We start from the raw sequence: 19573 nt of genomic DNA on the forward strand, positions 1-19573 counted from the left end.
TGTTCAGTTCCAGGGCACATGTACTCACAGTGGCAAGGCTAAAGTTCTATTGTGTCATTCAGTTACTTCTTGTTTTTTATGGTACAATGTACCAGATGTAATGTCTGTTTTTGGAAAGGTGTCCTTTTTGTATGCACCTGCAAATCTAGACCCTTTGACTTAATATACTCAATCCTGGTTTTCTCTTCCCAGCTGCTTACCAGCTCAGCTACTATATTATTAGCAGGTTATACACAACTGAGGGGCCAGATCTATGACTGATACTATTAAATCAATAAAGAGTAATTGAGGTATAATCGAGTTCTTTTAATCCTTCTTTCTGATATGTTGATATGGATGATGTTGAAAAGAAGGAAGGGAACCTAATGTGCTTGATTTTTTCTTATAGGTTGTGATATTTTTGACTAGTCATCTTTCTCCTCAGAGAACAAAAGTGTGCTGAAAAATGCCTATTGCAGCCTGGATTTTGTATCAATGAGGCATTTTAAATCATAAGAAAAACTTTGTTTGATTTTTTTAAAAGATAATTCCCCAAATGTTCAAGGAGGCAAAAGCCTAATACAATCTAGAATACTGAAACTTCATTAGTTGCCATTACAGAGAACAATGAAACCATGAAACCTAACCACTCATGTGACACCTTCAGTAACAGTTTTATTTTCGTAAATGTTAGTGCAGATAATCTTGTCATTTAACAAAACATAGAAATAAAAATATGTTTTCTTTTGACTGAGGCAGCTTAAATATTGAAGAAAGAGCACTGGACTAGGAGTCAGAAATCCTAGATATAAAACTTGCGTAAGCCCTGTAGTTTCTGTCAATTTTTGGGAAAATAATATCTCTAGTCTGAATTTTTTCTCTATCTAGTTGAAGTATTAAACTTGATCATATATGGGTCCCTTTGAATATTCAATTCTGTATTTTTAAGCCTATATGTCTTACAGTTACCACCTCTGTGATTCTTCAATTATGCTGACTCATTCTCCAAATATCTATGTACAATATGCACACTAGTTGTGTATCAGGAATTTTACCCTATAGCAATGGCTTGCTTGCCAAATAAATCTTGTTGACTCATGGGCTTTTAAGAATATAAGAAGTTACTGGCATGTCCACTGAGAACTCACTAATCTGTCCTAAATAGGAAGAAAGTCAATATAATTTAATGGAAAGAGCCACATTCTTTCAATAAAGAAATTTTAGTTTTAGTAACATAAACAAAGTGCCTATCACTAAGATCTCAGTTGCAGAACCTGTAAAAAGCAGTCGATGGTAACTTACCTGTCTGAATGCTTGGGCTGGATCAAATGATCTCTTAGGTTTCTCACCTACACTTTTAGAAATCGTGTCTAAGATATATTTAACTATATGCTGTGGTACAGCTAATTTTCATCATGGAGATAGAGCTTGAAGACAATATTTTATTGCTTTTATCAAAGAATTATTTGTAATTATTTTGTGCGTTACTAATAAGCAGGTCCTAGGAATAGTATCAGAAGGCCTGCAGTTTCTTATTTTTATTAATATATTGTAGATTTCCCTCCATATCAGCCTTCGTGTCCTTCAGTGATCATAAATTCTGAATAAGTGATGTAATGTAATTTTACCGTATTGAATAACAATCTGGAATCTGATTAAAGAGACAATTATAATGCAAAACATAGAAACTCTTTAAAATTTTTACTCATTTGGTTCAAAAGTAAAGCCAACTGACTTGCTAAAATTTAAGTTTGCAAACTAGTAGAAATATAAGAGCTAGTTAACTAAGCATATGACTGAATCCTTTAGGGAATTAAAAAAATAAGCTAAAAGACACAGAACAGACTCAGAATTAAAATAGTTATTGATTCAATAACATATATTATGATTTTGTATTTGAGCATTCCAACAAGAACACATTTGTAAGGGACCATGACTTTTAGGCAGCTGGTGATAGCCAAATGATTCAGTAATAATATATAACATTCTCTTTCTTAGAGAGTAAAAGTTTTAAGCATATGATTTATTATTAATACCAAATTTCCACTAGCTTTTTTCTTTTCACCCTTTACATTTGTTCTAAATAATGCTTAGATACATTATAAGATTTGCATTACCTGATGTTATGGAAAAGTGTAAAATTTAGTAAGGTTTAGAAGAGGTAGAGAGAAAACAGAATTACTTTGTTGATTCGTTTAACAAAATATAATTAAGTGTGGTTGGTGTCCAGAATATTGTTATATTGTTTTCTTAGACTGTCACTCTAATTCTTCGATATGCCTTCATAGATTCATTTTATCTGAATTTTGATTGGCATTTGGAGTGACTATTATCCAGTTGAGGTTGATTTTGGAAAATCAGATTTTTCTACCTTATTGCATCTTTCCAACATTTTCATTGATGGGGAAGGAATCCTGGCATCATGGAAAGATCAGTTGGCTTTGTTTTTAAACTTGAGTTCAAAACCTGACTTTGTTCCCTTATTAGCTCTGCATGTTTAGGCAGGTTACTTAACCTCTCAGAACTTTCTCATTTTACAAAGTGGGAAAAATAATGCTTACATCCCAGAGATGTTGTGAGTGTTAATGAAATGACAATATGCAGCATATCTTATACAGTGTGATACCCAGTATGTGCTTCTCAAATGAGCTGCTCATACCCTTCACCTCCAGTGGCTTCTAACTGGTGGGAGTCTAGTTTAGGTAGCCAGAAGTGATGTAACACACAGTAAAATCCATGGTATAAATCACTTACCTGCACTATTTCACTTGATATAAATAATTTCTTTAACGTCTCCATTTCTTTGGCTGCTAACATTCTCTTTTAAGGTAGCAAATTCAAAAGCCTGTAGAGTCCAGCCAAGTCATATTAATGAATGAAGTGGATCAAGTTCAAACAAAAACCCTTGGAAATATATAATCAATTTTTAAATATTTGCCTATATCATAAACATACTCATACTATATAAACATATATGACATTGGAGATTATATTTTAGAGAAGATGTATTTTCCATGCAATAATAATACTATCTCTGCCTGAGTTTTGGGCAAATAGAAGTGAGAGGTGGTGCCTTTGGCAGCCTGAAATATGGATGCCTTGTCTGAAGAGGACAGCCACTATTCCATTGGTAGTACAGCTGTTGTGATGGCTATTGCCACATGGACATACAGACCCAGGGTGGTCTCACTTTCCAACTTTTAAAGATAAGCTGAATTCTTGAATTTTGATTTGAAATTTCTCCATATTTAAATATTGGGTCCAGTTTGTCCCAAGAACTCCCAGTTTGTGACTCCTGCCCAAGGTTTTTCTGGTTCTCCTCAGACCTCTCTGGCCATTCCTTCTTCTCTTCCTGCACAGATTGGTAAGCCAGAGCTTCATTTTTAACATACTTATGCCACATGATTTTCGTAAGCAATCTCATTCAGTCTCATGGTTTTAAACCCTGGCTTCCACGTTGACTCCTAAATCTCAGTCCCCAATACTAACCTCATCTAATAATTTCAGACTCATTTATCCAACTACTTGCTACATATCTCCATGGAAATCTCCCTCAGACATCTCAAAGTCACCATGACCCAAACTAATCTCATGAGCTTTCCAGAACTTTCTTCTAACTGAAACCTGTTCCTCTTGTGTGTTTCTGCTCCCTGTTTCCCTGCAAGCTAATGACATGACCATTTTCCCTGTAGTCAAACCATACATCTAAGACCCAATCAAGACCCTTTCCTTCTCCCTCACCACCATACACAATTACTTTTCAAGTCCCACTGATTTTCTCTCATAGACATTGGTCAAATACATTCTTTCTTCTACATTTCTGGAGTCTCTGCCCTGGGACTCATTTGATAAACTGTAATAGTTTCCTAACCGTTCTTCCTGCTTTCAATTTCAATTTGCTCCAATCCATTCTCTACCCTGTTGTCACAGGTAGTCAATCTAAAACTATCTGACGTCTCTCTCCTAACTGAAACATTTCAGAGGATTTCAGACATCTGAGCCCACAGAAATTCTGCAAAACAAGGTGTGAACAGTGACAAGTCAAGATTAAGATTAAGATAGGATTCTAAACTCTAGAAACAGATGGGTTCCAAGGGCAGAGCAGAGAGCTATCCAGTGAATAATCTAGAGTAGGAAGTGATCAGGGCTGACGGAAGTTGTAGCTATATTGGAATTTGCCATTTTTAGAAGGGGGATCTTGAACACTGGCTTAGTCCCACTCTTCCTTTTAAAGTCCCTGGCTAAAGGAATTGTATTGGGCCAAAACCTCTTTTTCCTTTTCATGAAAGAAGATATATTCATCTCCCATGACCTCAAATTTTGAAATGAATGCCATGTAGTTTAATTAACCTTTCTCTACAATTTGCCACCTCAAATGTTTATTGTTCAATTCTCTATTTTAAGCTAGACAGAATCTGCAGGCCTCAAAAAAAAAAAAAGTGCATCTTATGCAAGCAGTGTAACTGTTTTATTTCAGGGGTCTGCTGACCCTGAAGGATTTTCCTAGCTTTTCTACTTTTGTTTATTTTTTTGTCACAGCATTCCCTTGATGGAACCAAAGCCCCATTATCCATAACTTCTTATCACTTTATTGTAAGCTTTAGCAGAAACCACTGGAGATTTTACTGTGTTATGAGAACCTCCAAGTTGCATGACAATCTTGTTTTACAAGTTTCTTATCTCCTTTTCATTTGTTCAGTTGCTGGTCACCAGTGGCTTACAATGTCACCAGAATCTGTTGGAAGAAATAAAAAGTTTTTGTTCTGCAGGTTTTGTATCTGCAGTTTGGTTTGTGTTCTCCAAGCCACTGATGATTTGTGATATCATCGATTTCCACAGTGTAACCATAGTCACTCACAAAAATAACCTTGTAATTGTACTCCATTTGTCCCCACAGTTCTCTAGCATTTTTCAGTCACACCACTCCTTCACTGCTCTGAAATTTTGATAGTATCAGGTGAAAATCCTCAATTATTCAGTTTGTTTAGACATTGTTCTTTTTTCTGTTATTAGGTATGAATATAAATATTAAGACAGAGTTTTAAAAAGCTAACAGGATGTTAAATGGACTCTGATTCAGGAAGCAGTATCATAAATGGTAATGGGTACATCTAAAATAGTTTTTTAGGAAAAAATATTAATTAAAACACTCAAATACAAAACAGAAAATATATCTAAAAAGGTAATAGTTTAAAAAAATTGGTTTAGTCTTACTTTAAAATGAAAGACCTTTGAAGGGAGTCTTATAAACAATAAATGAGCTGGCATTAAGTGTAAGTCTAGTAGTACGAGTGTGTATTTGTAAATATTACACTTTTGTTGTTTAAAAAAATGAATTCTGAATTCAAATAAATTACCGACATAGTAAAAAAGCCTCAATAGATAAAATGCCAAAGAACATGAACAGATAGTTGATAAAAGAGTAAATAGAATGCCAAGGAACATGTACAAAAATTGTAATGAAAGAAACAGAAACAGTAATTAAATATACATGTACATATATCCCATCAAATAAAGCTATCAAAATGCAGTACAAATTGCTAATGAAGGTGTAGGAAAATAAGCATTCTCTAGCACTGATTGCTTGATGATAGGAATCTAAATTTGTATAAGTACCAGTTGGATAGCAAGGTAGTCAGTCGAGATACTTCAAAACATTTATACTGACTGACCAAGAAGTTATAGTTTTGAGAAGCTGGTCTATGGAAATATTCTAAAATAACAGAAAAATAATTATACCTCAAAAATATTTGACACGGTGTTCTTTATAATGTCTAACAAAGAAGAATAATTAAATATGCCATAATCCATCCATAAACCAGAATGTAATGCAGCATGAAATCGTAAGAGAAATAATTGGGAAAAAGTTTATTTATAATGTCAAATTTGAAAAAATGGAAGTAAGGCAGGCTGTAGTGGTTCATGCCTGTTATCACAGCACTTTGGGAAGCTGAGGCAGGAGGATTGCTTGAGGTCAGGAGTTGGAGACCAGCCTAGATAACATAACAAGACCCCATCACAATAAAAAAAATTGAAAATTAGCTAGGCATTACATTATTGTGTGCCCTGTAGTCCAACTACTGAGGAGGCAGAAGCAGGAAGATCAACTAAGCCCAGGAGTTTGAGGTTACAGTGAGCTATGATTGTGCCACTGCACTTCAGCCTGAATGATGGAGTGAAACCCTGTCGAAAGAGAAAGAGAGAGAAAGAGAAAGAAAAAAGGAAGGAAAGATGTAAATTTGCATGTGTGGAGTTCAGTATCAACTCTAAAGAAGTATTATAAGGCTAAAGAGAAATATAAAACAAGTGTGGCTATTTCCAGGTGATGGGATTAGGAGTAATGTCTATTTTAATCATTATGCTTTTCTACATTATCCAGCTATTCAGCAATAAACATTATTGGCTTTTATTATTTATTTTAAAATGTCATAAGTATATTCTTGGAAAATGTCTAGTAGCATGGTCCAATAATTAACTTTTTTTTTTTTTTTTGGTTTGGAGTGGAAATGTGTGATTGCAATTTTTCAAAAGGTACTAGGAGTTACTACTATTATTTAAAAAATTGGAAAAACTTTTAAAATGATTCTAATTATTCTAGATTTGGGGATTATAATCAACTCAGTAGTTCAGGTATCTGTTGCAAGAAACAAAATAACTCATGTGTCTGGTTTATTTGCATTTGAATCTTTTGATCATGTTTGCTTTTGTTGCTCAAAGTGCCTTGCAATGTTCAAGTTCTAATCTGTCTTCTCACATGCCATTTACTCAGGAGAGAGTGATTAAAATTGACCTTTTGTGGCAAGGAGATGAAAGTGAGAAATACGTGATAGTCCAAAAGTTGTCACATGGGTGGAAAAAGAAAATTTGGGATTTTTGCTTTTAATAAAGGTCATATAAATGGAATAAGAGTCACACAAGAGGACCTATTTAACCATGTGTTGGCAGTTGATTTGAATCTAAACAATATCAAGTTTCTTTTAGAGTTTACCCCTCCAAGGGGAGTGGGGACAAAATTAGAATTTTCCATTTTTAGAAGGGGACCCTAGGCCTATGCCATATTCCAATCTCCTTTTTAAGATCCCTGGCTAAAGAAATTGCAGTGAGCCAAAAGCTCTTTTTTCATCTTTAAAAAATCAGATATATTTTGTGCCATGTAACCCCTAATTTTGAAATGATTGCCATGTAGTTTAATTAAGCTTTATCTAGAATTTGACACCTTCAATGCTAGGAGACTTGGGATAAAGATAACCGTCACGTTCAATAGATTCTGTTCTGTGTATCTCTGCTCCCACAGTTACAACACATAAAGCTTTTTGGCCTTGAGGTGAAAGCACCTTCCGCTCTGCCTCACTGACAACCACTGGGATCAGAGCTAGAGCTGAGTAATAAATAATGAAATTTTGCCTTCAAAATGTGTTAGCCTCCATAGAATATGAGAATGTACAAATTTTTTATTTTTCTCTTTTAAATTTTAGTTCTTTCTTTTGTTCTCCAGGACTTTGTTTCGTATCATGCTCTGGGCCCCCTCTAAATGGGCTGCCTTGTAGAACTCTTTTGTCAGCCAGAGAGGGCAAAAATTTTATATTGATTCCCTAAGGGAGGTACCAAACAGGCTGTGGAAGATGACAGTGTTTCAGGAAAAACTGTACTGTCCCAGCAAGTCTAATGGGACCTAATAACATGTACAGTATTGTGGTAATAGGGACCATGGTATCAAATGCAAATGAGGAATCCTAATGCCTTTACTGCTCTAAGGCAGGGTGGGTCAGGCAACCATATGACACACAGCGGACTCTTCCACGTGTTAGGGCTGATTCTATTTTATTTTCTTTTGTACTTCATTGCATTCTTTCTCATGCTCTTTTCATTCAAAGATTCAATCCCAAGACAGGATTATGATACTCCACCAGCTGTTGTGTCAGGTAGGAAAATTCTAATTCTTTTAAGACTGGATTGGAGGGGAGAGATGGAGGTTGCCTGGTTTTTTCCCAAACTCTTTAAAGCAGTGATTCTCAACAGAGGTGGGTGCAGGAAATTTGAATTCCAGTTTGCAAGGGGGCATGTGTAGTTCAGAAACATAAACTTAATATTATAATTCAGTTATATATCTGGAAAATAAATGTGTTGCATTTTAAATAGAAAGTAAAAACTCAAAACCATTTTATCTGTCAAGGATACACAGAAGATAGAGTCTGTGTTCTGTGTATCAGTGATTCTCAGTGTTAGACACAGTCATCAAATTCCTGAAAAGTGGGAAAATAATTTTATGTATAGCAAAAGACGGCACAGATTAATAAAAAATAGTTTGAGAAGCACTGCTTTAGAGACCAGAATTCTTCTAAATTGGAAAATCATCCCATTTGCTTGCTCAGCACCCTGCATAGGGTCTGACACATAGTAGGTACTCAATATAATTGTTTGTTGAATGAATCTAAACTTCAAATTTGTTCCCAAAACGATTCTTTTGGATATTGAAAGAAAAGCTGCCATTATTCTATTTATACAAAAAAGTGGCAGAGGTTGATTTGAAAATATGTTAGTGTCTTGAGGGTTTTAACTAGCAATATTTCAGTTGTTTCATAAAATTTAGTAGTGCAGTTTGTAATAGGATATGTCTATGTAAAGAGGTGGATTTTTATTTTGAACTGCACAGATCTTCTTGTGCTTTCATTTTGATTTTGAATTTTGATTTATTGCAAAGAGAAAAATGGGCACAATTTTTTATTTCAGTTAATTTTTTAATTAAATAAAATACTGGCAATCTGAAGAGGAGGAATTCTTTGATTCTTTGACATGTCAGACAGCAAGGTCATAAAATACAAAGAGAAACATGCATTAGAAAGACAGAAGAAGAAACAAAGGTCAGAAATAGACTCAAAGACCCCATGGAGCAGTTGAATCTGTCAACCTGCTGGTGGTTTTCAAGCAGGGGAAATCTTGCTTTTGGCCACCCGTTTGCTTGACCCAGCATCTGAAGGGTAATTCTTTTTTAATTTCTTATAGCCTTGTTTAGTTATGTTCCTGGCTGAATACTCATCTTTAAAGTTCAATTAATAATGTCCCATTGAGGAAGAATACGTTAGCATTTGGCCGCGAAGTCATTTCGGTCCTCTTTAAGGTCTCTACAATAAATTGCCACTACTGAAAATATCACTTAGTTTTTCCCAAAGTGTATTTCCTGTCATATCTTAACATGCCAATTTCATTTAGGATTTAGGGCCCCTGGGAAGAGACTATATTTCATACATGGTACTTTTGTTTAACAAGATACATCTACTCTTGGTAATTTACCAATATTCATAAAAATAAAAGACACAAACTAGAACTTACCTTCAACTGGGTTTCCTGATTTTACTTTCAAGAACATAATGAAGAAAGCAAGCAAATCATTAAAAGTACTTATCAGATATCAGTCATAGGTCAGGCTCTACGTAAGTCAATTGAGGCAGAAGATCTGGCTGACAATCTAGGCTCAGGAGTTCTCACCTGATTGCATACACAGGGCCACTGAAAGTTCTAGAGCAGATAAATTACTTGATAAAAGCAATGCTTTAAGAAACTGAATCTGAAAGTTTTGTGTGGTCTTGAGCAAGAAGACATAAAAATCACATGGAACAGTTAAAAAGATTAGATATGACATATTGTATTTATAATAAAAAGTAGTCCTAGGTTCCCAGCAGTGGAGTATGAAGGAAGGGACCCAATATAGAGTTAATATGAAAAATAACATTTTGGGAGATTTCACAGTTATTTTCCCCTTGTAAGATTTAATTGGTAGTTTGACATAAGTTTCACAGACTTCTTTGGTCTACGTCTAAATAGAAATAGACTTGCCTTTCCAAAATGCTTGTTAATTGGCTGGTAGGACAACTTCAATGACTTTTGAGAAATTGAATCTGCTTTTCTCAATCCTTGGCCACATCAGGAAAGTGAAACAGGCAATAGCATTGTAATATCTCCTTCCCAAATCTTCCAATATGTCAATATTGGACAAAACAAATAACTCTTTGCCAGTGTAGAATCCAACTAAATTGTTTTAATTGATTGTAGTCGAGATATCTGCTTGACAATTTACAGATACATAACTTAATTTCATTCAATCAATATTTCAACATTTATTGAACAACTTCTGAGTGGTAGACACTACACAAAAGTACTGGGGATACAAAGATGAGCAGAAAATAGACCCCTGATTAAAATATTATGGTATAATATTAGACCATTATAACATTAATAGCAACATTTATTTGTGTTGTCGTGATGTGAAATGCATAAAGTATAGAGAATCAAGAATCTAGAAAGAATATTTGAAATCCTCAGGAAGACAAATACTGTTTGGTTTTCTGTGTAATATTAAGTGACATCATCTTCTGAGAGTGAGTGAGAGAAGGCACATAGTAAGGATTTAAGAAGAACAGAGATTTGGAAAACTATGGCATGAGAAGGCCTATGAACAATCCATAGAATTTTGAGGGGTAGTAGTGGGGGTTCATTTGAAGCTATGGACTATGTATTTGTGTGATTAATCTGTGAGAATGTTTGATTTTCTGCGGTCATGATTAGTAGCCAAGAAGGCAGACAGGCAAATTAATGCAGGGTTAATATTTACTAGGTGAAGTGAGGAAAAGGATAGTGTGCAATTATGATATTGGCAAGAAAGTAGTTGAGTGGCAAACTGTGGGTTTAAGGAAGAATAAAGAAGGAAGAAAAAAGAAGGCAGTGGTGGATGAGAGATAGAAAACAAAATATACAGATTAGCAGTTTCAATGAGATGTACTAACTACAATGTATTTTACTAACTACAATGTAGTTAGCAAAATACTTGGATTTAAGATTTTGGATAATGAACTATTTCTTGGCAAAGTTTGAATCATGGGAGCAGGTGGCCACAGTGGACTTGAGGTGAAAGTGACAGAAGTTAAGGGAGTTCATTAATGTGAACATAAAAAGTGACTAATGAAGTGGGGGTATCTTGCATATTTTAGTTTTGTTTTCTTCGTTCTTTGCCATTAATAAATTATACATGGCTCAAGAATATTTTACTTAGGAAGAGTCTGAGTTACATATTTAAGCTTCAACAATGAATATGTCTTAAAAATAATAATAATCTGGGAAGAAAGAGTTAAAGCAGAAATGGTGATGTTCAAAAGAAAGAAGGAAGCTTGGGAAACAAAAGCATCTCTGATTTATTTCCCTGGAGTCACCTCTTGTTGCCTACATCTCTGCTAGGCCTTACCTAGCTCATTTCAAGGAGGGAAGACAGAAGGCTGAAACTGCCCTCTACATTTTCACACCAAAGCAGGAATCTATTCTCCTTTTAGTATTTCTTTTCCATAACAACTATAACTCCTTTAAAAATCCTCCTCTCTTAAGCAAATGTTAATGAAAAAATATGTAAAGGCATAGTAAAATGCCATTTTCTATACATGGTTGGGTTTTATGAAACACCTATGAAAACCGAAGATAATTTGTAGTCAAATTTTTATTTCAGTTGTTTTGAGCTTAATTTCCTTGAATGACATCAGCATGAAATCAAGCAGAAGACTACTATCACTAGAGAACTAAAGTAGAATCAAAATCTGTCCTCTTTTTCTAAAAAGCTTTGAGTTCAGAATTTGAACCTAGGTTTGAAAAAAATTTTTTTTTAAAAAAGAAAAGAAAAACGGGGCCTGAAAAATACACTGAAAAGAACCTGTAGAACTTGTGGAGCATATTTTCATTCTTTGCTCTAACCTTTTATGCACCAGCTGAAACAGGCTGAAATAATAAGTGTTATCAGTACAACTTCATGATGAGATTTCACAGAAAAAGTTTGCATAAATCACAATATACTGGTCCAATAAGAAATTTTTAAATGTCTGATTTCTAACCATGGAGTTGTGCTCTACGAATAAAGTTCTTCATTGGAGTACATGATGCAATTAAGACAAAATTCACTGTTATAAACAGCATGCACTTTCTCACATTGTTTTTGTTTCAGCAATCTAAGTTTGCATTGGAAAGCCTCATTAATTTGGAATTTGTGATGTCCAAGCAAAGATTTAATTGAAGCCTATTTCTTATGCTGCATCTTAGGTGAGAATTGCTGTGTGAAACTATCCTCTATCATCCAGAGGAGGGAAAGGCAGAGTATTTTAGCTGCTTCAAAGAACAAGGAGAACAAGACCATCTTTCAAGCTCTAAGCAACATTTGTTTTCATAGATACCATGAGCTAATTACAAATAATTTCCATCTTTTAATTAAAAATTAAGTTCATTAGTACCTCCAATTAGCAACAATTAGCCATTAAATTGTTTTTATTGTAAAAGACCTGACACATTGTTATGTGTTCCCACAAGCCACACGTGAAAATCAGTTTCATTTTTTGGCTCAAATACCGTGCATTTATGTTGACTACAAAACTATCTTTCTTTACATGAGTTAATTGATTTTTTCTTTGTAATAAGTTCTTAGAGACTTTGCTTTACTTATTCTTCATTTATTCAACTAATATTTACAGAGTACCTACAGTGCTACAAAAAACTAAGGGTAGGTCCATTTCTTGCCCCCAAAGAACAAAGATTCTAACAGAGTAAAAGGTTATAAAGAAATGTCATGTAACATAGTATATGACAGACATCACAGGAGTGGTCTGCAGAGCAGGACTCTGTACATGATATGTGCGCAAGTATTTGACAAAAATAGGCATGTGAATGCTGAGTTATTGTGTTCCTGCTGGTGCATTTATTTTGTTCGCTAAATTATAAAAATTGAATCATTAAGAATTTTCCTATGGGACCATAATTGTTATTTATGTATTAAAATAGGCAACTAGATTGGACTAGTATATAAATATCACTGTTATTTAGCCCAGGTTGTTTTTTGGTTTTTGTTTTGTTTTGTTTTCAGAGGATGGGATAGGTGGGTGTAAAATTCTATGCCTCATCTTCTAATCCAGCAAGCATTTCCTGTAAAGTTCCAGATAGTAAATATTTTAGGCTTTGCAAGCCATACAGTCTGTGTCATAACTATTCAACTCTGCCACTGTAGCATGAAAGCAGACACAAGCCACGTGCAAATAAGTGAGCATGGCTATATTTCATTAAAGCTTTATATGCAAAAATAGGCAGCAAGCAGAATTTGGTCTGTGTGCTATAGTTTGCCTACCCCTGCTCTCTCTAATCAATTTATTTTTATAGGTATTCCAAACTAAATACTGTCACTGATATTCTTTATAATACATCTGAAGTGACCTTCCCTTAAAATTCGCATTTTTGAGCTTTTTTATTTCATAAAAGACAGAAATATCAGAAAATCTGAGATGGTAGACATTGAGATGGAGGTTGAGAAAAACATGTATTAGTGTTTTAGTGTGTACAGAATAATTGATTATAATAGTGATATATTAAAACCCTTTAAGAATATTTTTATTTTTTATATATTTTTTTAATATTTTCATTATATATTGGTCTTTTAGGACTTATAGCAGCAACAGGGGATCATCAAAACCAGGAAAATCAAACATATATTCTGTTTATTATCCTCTTGGCAGCCTTTAGAATCCTATACTTTTAGAAATTTAGAGAAAAGATGAGAAATATATCATCCCAAAAGATTTGTAGTAAAATATATTTGACATCTTTGTCACACCACCTGCAGCGGTTTCTGTTACTGTTGTGATTGTTGATTAGTGTCCACTGATATTACTCTTGACCTGCCAGTATTTTAGCTATTCTATTTCCCCCTGGGTAACTGCTTCCCTGAGTACTGTGTGCTGCTTTGCCATCCGATTATAAGGGAAAGCTTTCCTGGTCTTGTCTAAAAGCCGAACACTACACAGGGTAAGCCTGGGATGGCTGGAGATATGACTACCCTCTGTGGCAAGGACAGAGAAAAACGACGCTTAGTGATGCAGCACACACATCAAATCAAAAGGCAGCCTCTCAAAATGCTTTCTGCAGTAGAATTTTTCAGTGAGTGGCAGCAACTGACTTAAAGCATCCCGCAGCAGCAGCACACAGCATCACTTAGTGCCTCAGTCATCTACAAAAGGGCAGAGCCTACATAATACGCAGCAGAGCACTTTCAAGACAACAATGGACTTTAAAGTAAGCTAATTGCGTGTGCAGGAATCAGCACATCTGGTACTGAAATCACTTGGTTCCGTTTTTAAATCAACAGCACAAAGTGGGCACTTGAGGCGCCTGTCAGAGAATATAGTCAGGAATTGACTATGTATGATTCAGCCCTTGCCAGAGGCATGCGAGAGACATCTGATTCTGGAGAGATACTGCCTAATAAACATGTTAACAGTTCTCTAGACCCTATGTTAAATTAGTTAATCAGAATGCAAAATGCCCGAACCATAAAATTGGACATCCCTATTGAAATGTTTTCTCTCAGTTAAAATTTTAACATTTTAACCTCTTCTTTGAGAAGCAATATATTACACGAACATTTAAACAATGTTACCAGCCTTTTGAGATGCCACAGCAAACCAAATTGTCTGTTATTTTACCCAATGTCTTTTATATAAAGAAGCAAATGATTAATAGATCCTTGAGTTCAGTGTCTCAGCAAGTATCTCTCTCCAGATGAATGAATATACTTATTTTTAACTAACAATGTAAAATACCCAGCTTAATCTATTTTCCCTTAGCCTTGGTTATCAGGATAGTTGGAATTAGATGGAGTACATTGCAAATGTTCCTGGTAGCATGTTCTCTCTATTGCTCTTAACTGTTTGTTGATTTGCTGGTATTTTTAATTGTGCTTCTTAATGCAGTGCTTAATTTTGTAAATCTTCCACAAATTCAACTTGGAAGTACAAAGCTTCTAATTCCTTTATTAAAAAATAAATGAAGAAATACTATTGGGCTAATGGGAAGTTTGTGTGCTAAACATCTTAGGAGAAGGACAAAATGAAAGACGATTTTGATTGTGTGTTGATCTTATCTAAAAATTTACCACCAGACACTGTTTGTTTTCATTCTCACACATGCAGTTTTAAACAGGAAAAAGTATGGTAGAAAAAATCAAAATGATTTTTAGAATTCACAGGATGTATGTGATTTCTGAGTCATATTATTTAATAATTATTTAACAATTAGAGTTACTTAAATTTTCTGAAGCTTAGCTTTTCTCTCCTTAAGAGTAGAGAGTATATAATCTATTCATTACCCTTTATATATACACAACAATAAAAGGATTAATTGAAAGGATATGTCCAAAGTACCTAGTAAGGGCGTGACTCATGATCGATATTAAATAATTGAAGCTTCCTTTCTGCTTCCTTTCTTTGGATTCAGGAAAGTGTGTTAGGACTTTTTGAAGTATCATTAATCTTATATTTGCTATGTTAGATTAACTTATCCAAAGAAAGGAGTCTTTTTAAATAGTTTCCAAACTCAATATCTAAAAATAAAAGAAATAGTAAGAGAGTTAATTATATTATCTTTCTTATTGGCCAAACTATTATGATATTACTAGGTGAATTAATATAAATATAAATATTTAATAACATGAAAAAGAATGTTCATAATGCACAGTGAAAAGATGACAAAAGTGAACAATCATTATGATTTTGAGGCCTAAAACATACACATGAAAAAATCTAGAAAAGAATGCATAAAATTATTATCATATGTGTTTTCAATTTCTATTTCTAAACTTCTTGAAATGTTGCTTTGCTACACTTATAACTTATTAAAACTTTAATAACAGTCTTTGAAATGGCAACAGTTTTAAGGAGACATTTATGTACCAGAAAAACATGACTGTGTGAAAATGAAAATAAAGATGATGATAATGAGTGTGGTGATTATATGCATGATAGCAGTAGCAGGGGTAACCTCTAACATTTTCCCCACCTCTACTCATCACATCTCAACGTTATGGCATTTAGAGCAAGATTAAAAGAGACATTATATCTCTATATAGAATTGGCAGAATTTTTGAGTGATTCTATAACCTAAATTCATTAAATTTTATGTAAATCCATTTTCCACCTACCAGAAGATCAATATTTCCATAACCAATAGTTAATGCCACTTTTCGTATTGAAATCACATTTCAAATGATATATTATGTTTCTTGCATGCAGCAGTTGGAACAACCTAAAATCTTCCCAGTTTATATTATGTGAGACATCAAGGCTCTTGTGGTTTACAGAACTGATATGACATATTTGAAAGGGGACGGTATATAATACACTTTTAATTACATATTATGTCTAACTTCTGCAACTTAGACTACTACTATATACACATTTTTTTTACTTTTCTGCTTAAAATGAAATCTGCTGTTGATTTGTTTCCCTGAGCTGTAATTACAAAATACTTATACTTACCCAATCAAGCTGATATAACTTCTAAGTGCTTTTGCCACCCAAGATATTGTTTATTCTTCCTTCCTTTCTACCACTAAGTTTTATTTATTTTGATCATGTGGAATATATCAGTATATTATTTTTTATCAGGGAACTTTATGTGCCTGCTCTGAGTCTAGCAGTTTGCCCAAGAGACTCAGATACGGGAATGCACAGGACTCCAGATCCAGGAAATATGAATTTTATTCATAATTGAGCAGTTACATTAGCAAATAAAATATGAAGATTTGGTAAAAATTATTGAGATTCTTGAGATACTTGTTCTGGAGGGTTGAAGCCTACTAGCCAAAGAAAACCAAGGATCAACTATAGTCAAACATAGTTAAGTTCATTAGCTTGCTGAAACAAGGGAAAATATATACCAGTTGAACTGTGGAGCATCTCAGAAAAGGAAGTCTGGAAGGGCTTATTACAGAATTAGAGCTTGTGCAATATGACTTTGGGAAGGGTGTGAAGAAGTGACCATTTATTCCACATTGAGTGATACCTGGAAATGAGGGGCAATTGAATGATTGTGTGTCTTAAGTGTTATTTAGTAGTTGGGAAGAAGAAAGAAGGGCTCGAGCTGTCATTGGCAAAGATGCAGCCGTCATTAATGTTAGACAGAAAAAGGAGATGTTTGATTGTTTAGGTTTGCAGAATGTACCTGTCTCTCTTTTGTCCACCACAGTCCTTGAGTGGCCTTGTCTGAAAATTGTTGATAATCTTCGAAAATTGTTTAGTTGGGAATGCTATGACCTTGCAAATAGCTTCCAGCTAATTAAAGGTTATTTGAAAGATTTCCATAAATTCTTTCCTTATCTCAAGGGCAATTATAATATTGCCTAACAAAAATATAGCAGAATATTAAATGTCCTTGGTGAAATATAAATGCAAACATGAGAGAGGGTAAATAGTGTTTTATTCATCACATAGTATGTATTCATCACATACATACTATGTTCTAGGCACTGTTCTTAGTGCTCTACGTGAATTGATTTGTAACATTTGATTGTCACAATCATTCCGCAGGGAGTTTCTTTGTCCTCTGCAAATTCGTTCTTTATAAGCTCAGCTGGACCCACACTCATATTTATGCTCCTTCAGCTGTTTTAACCTTTTTCACCTTTTTAAGTTCCAAACACGAGTCTTCCCATTTATGCTAAAAAATGACTCTTTCTTTATGAGAAGATCAGTACCACATTTTATCCGATCTTCAAATGTTTGTTTCTTCATTTTTCCCTTCTTCCTATCTTCCTCTTTTGTCAAGCCATAGTCCTCTTTTTGTCAATGTTAACCCCTCCTTGTATGTTCTTGATTTCATCTGCCTCAATTTGTTTTTATGGTCTTATAGCATTGATTGCCCTCTATCCCAGATGCACCTTATTCAATATATATTTATTCAATGATGATTTTTCCTATGCTTAATGAAATGTGTAGATCCTTCTTGCCTCAAGATTCTCATGGTGCTGGTCTTATGACACCTTGCTTTTCTTCATTTTTTTCTCAGTGGCATCATGTGCTTCCTCACTTTTAACTGTTATATAGATGACCTCCAAATCTATATTGCTAAATCCTATCATCTATTTTGCTTTTCATGCCAAAGTTTCCAACTACTTCCTAGATATCCCCTATCCACTCTTACCTGGCCCATTTATAGTTCAAACTTCTTGTTCACAATTTCAAATGTCTCATAATCTTGCTTCTCAATCCAGTTTCTTCTGCAGACTTCCCTAGGGTTCAAGCAAACCTCTATAAGCATTCTTTATCTAAGCCAAGATGTTTTAAGTGTAGCTACAAGTTTAAGATTGTTAGAGTCTTTGACAGTAGCTTAGAGTATAGCTCTTCTCTTTGGGGTGAGAACCATATGATTTAATATTATACTAAGCTTAGAGTAGGACAGGAAATCTTTTACCAATTGGTGAGTTATTTTTCTTTCAGCCAATGGTGCTTAAAACCTCAGAGGTGTTTTGGTGCACTCTATGCCACATGCAATCTTCCTTTTTCATGTAGATCCTATTTCTACAATGTATTTTGAATCTGCTATACCCATTCCATTCTATTACCCAGGTCCAGGCTGGGTTCTTATTACATTCTAGTTTTATTATTTGAGTGTTGTTTTGGTGTCAACACCTAGCACTTCTCTTTCCTATTCATCCTTCACACACATTCTTGAATAAATTTTGAGATTAACATTTAAAAAATTTTATCTTCAAGAATATGTTAATAGAACAATTAGGAGTTACCTTAGTAGATAATTATCCCTACCATCTGATCACTGCCAGAAAGTAGGATACAGATCAGATTTCTGAATCTAAAGTCATCTTTTCTAACAGCAGCCCTCTAACTCATAACCAGTATATACCAGAAATGTTACACTACTTAAAGCTGTAGTTAGCTTATGGAGATTGTTCTACAAGGAGGCAGGTATAACAACTATGTCATACCACAGAACCACAGTATGGTGATAGCTGCTCACTGGCCTCTGCTTGAGAGGAGACCTAAAATTTCTCTGACAGAAATATTGCCCTTCCTGCAGCTAACATCGAAGTGAAGGGGTATGTGTCTTGAAAGGAGTCAGCGGGTTCTCATTCTTCTTCGCTTCTTCCATTTGAGTCTATCATCCAATGCCGATTTCAGCTGATAGTTTAAACATATGGTCCTGTGTGTAACCAGCAGCAAAGAAAGCTACATTCCAAGTACTTTTTAAGAAACATAACAATTTCAAAGTCACTGCCACTCATACCTTTCAGAACCTTGACTAAGAGAAATGATATTTTTGGAGAAATATTTGGATCTTATGCAGTATATCCATTTTCCTTGGATATTCTAAGTTAGATCCTTGGATTAAGCTAAAAAAAAGCTGTTTTACCTGGATGACTGCATTCCACTGGACCCGTGAAACAGCTCTTCATGAAGTATGCCTTGGCACAGTACCATTTGTTTATGTGTGAAGGACACTATAATAAATAGACCTTGGAAACTTGCTTTGCTATATTAAGGCTGTTGTTCATTAGACCACACAGTGTCTGCTCCTTTCAGACTCACAGGAGAAACATCTGTCTTCCTTCCATATTGGGAATCATTCTTCAATGCACCTAGCTTATTTTCTTACCTAATGGACACAGTGACTTGTATAAATCATTGCTAACTAACTCTGGTAACATTTTAATAGCATTTATTTAATTAGCCTGTTTGCTCACTTCATCTTACTCTCTTTCCCTTCACCTGATTTTTCTCACTTATTT

At 34.5% G+C, this 19573-nt stretch overlaps 1 protein-coding gene across 15 annotated transcripts in view; it reads left to right on the plus strand.

The window, feature by feature from the left end:
- The window catches only part of RBMS3 (RNA binding motif single stranded interacting protein 3), a 729325-nt gene that overhangs the window by 655283 nt on the left and 54469 nt on the right, over positions 1 to 19573 (plus strand). For 9 of the 15 annotated variants that reach the window (XM_005265061.3, NM_001003793.3, NM_001003792.3 and 6 more), the window contains one exon: positions 7854 to 7901. The exons of the other annotated variants lie outside the window; for them this stretch is intronic. In XM_005265061.3, the coding sequence (XP_005265118.1) occupies positions 7854 to 7901 (48 nt within the window). The remainder of the gene's footprint in view (positions 1 to 7853; positions 7902 to 19573) is intronic. 15 annotated transcript variants of the gene reach the window in all.

Source organism: Homo sapiens, chromosome 3 (assembly GCF_000001405.40).
Source record: "Homo sapiens chromosome 3, GRCh38.p14 Primary Assembly".
In the NCBI taxonomy this organism is placed as follows: Eukaryota; Metazoa; Chordata; class Mammalia; order Primates; family Hominidae; genus Homo; species Homo sapiens.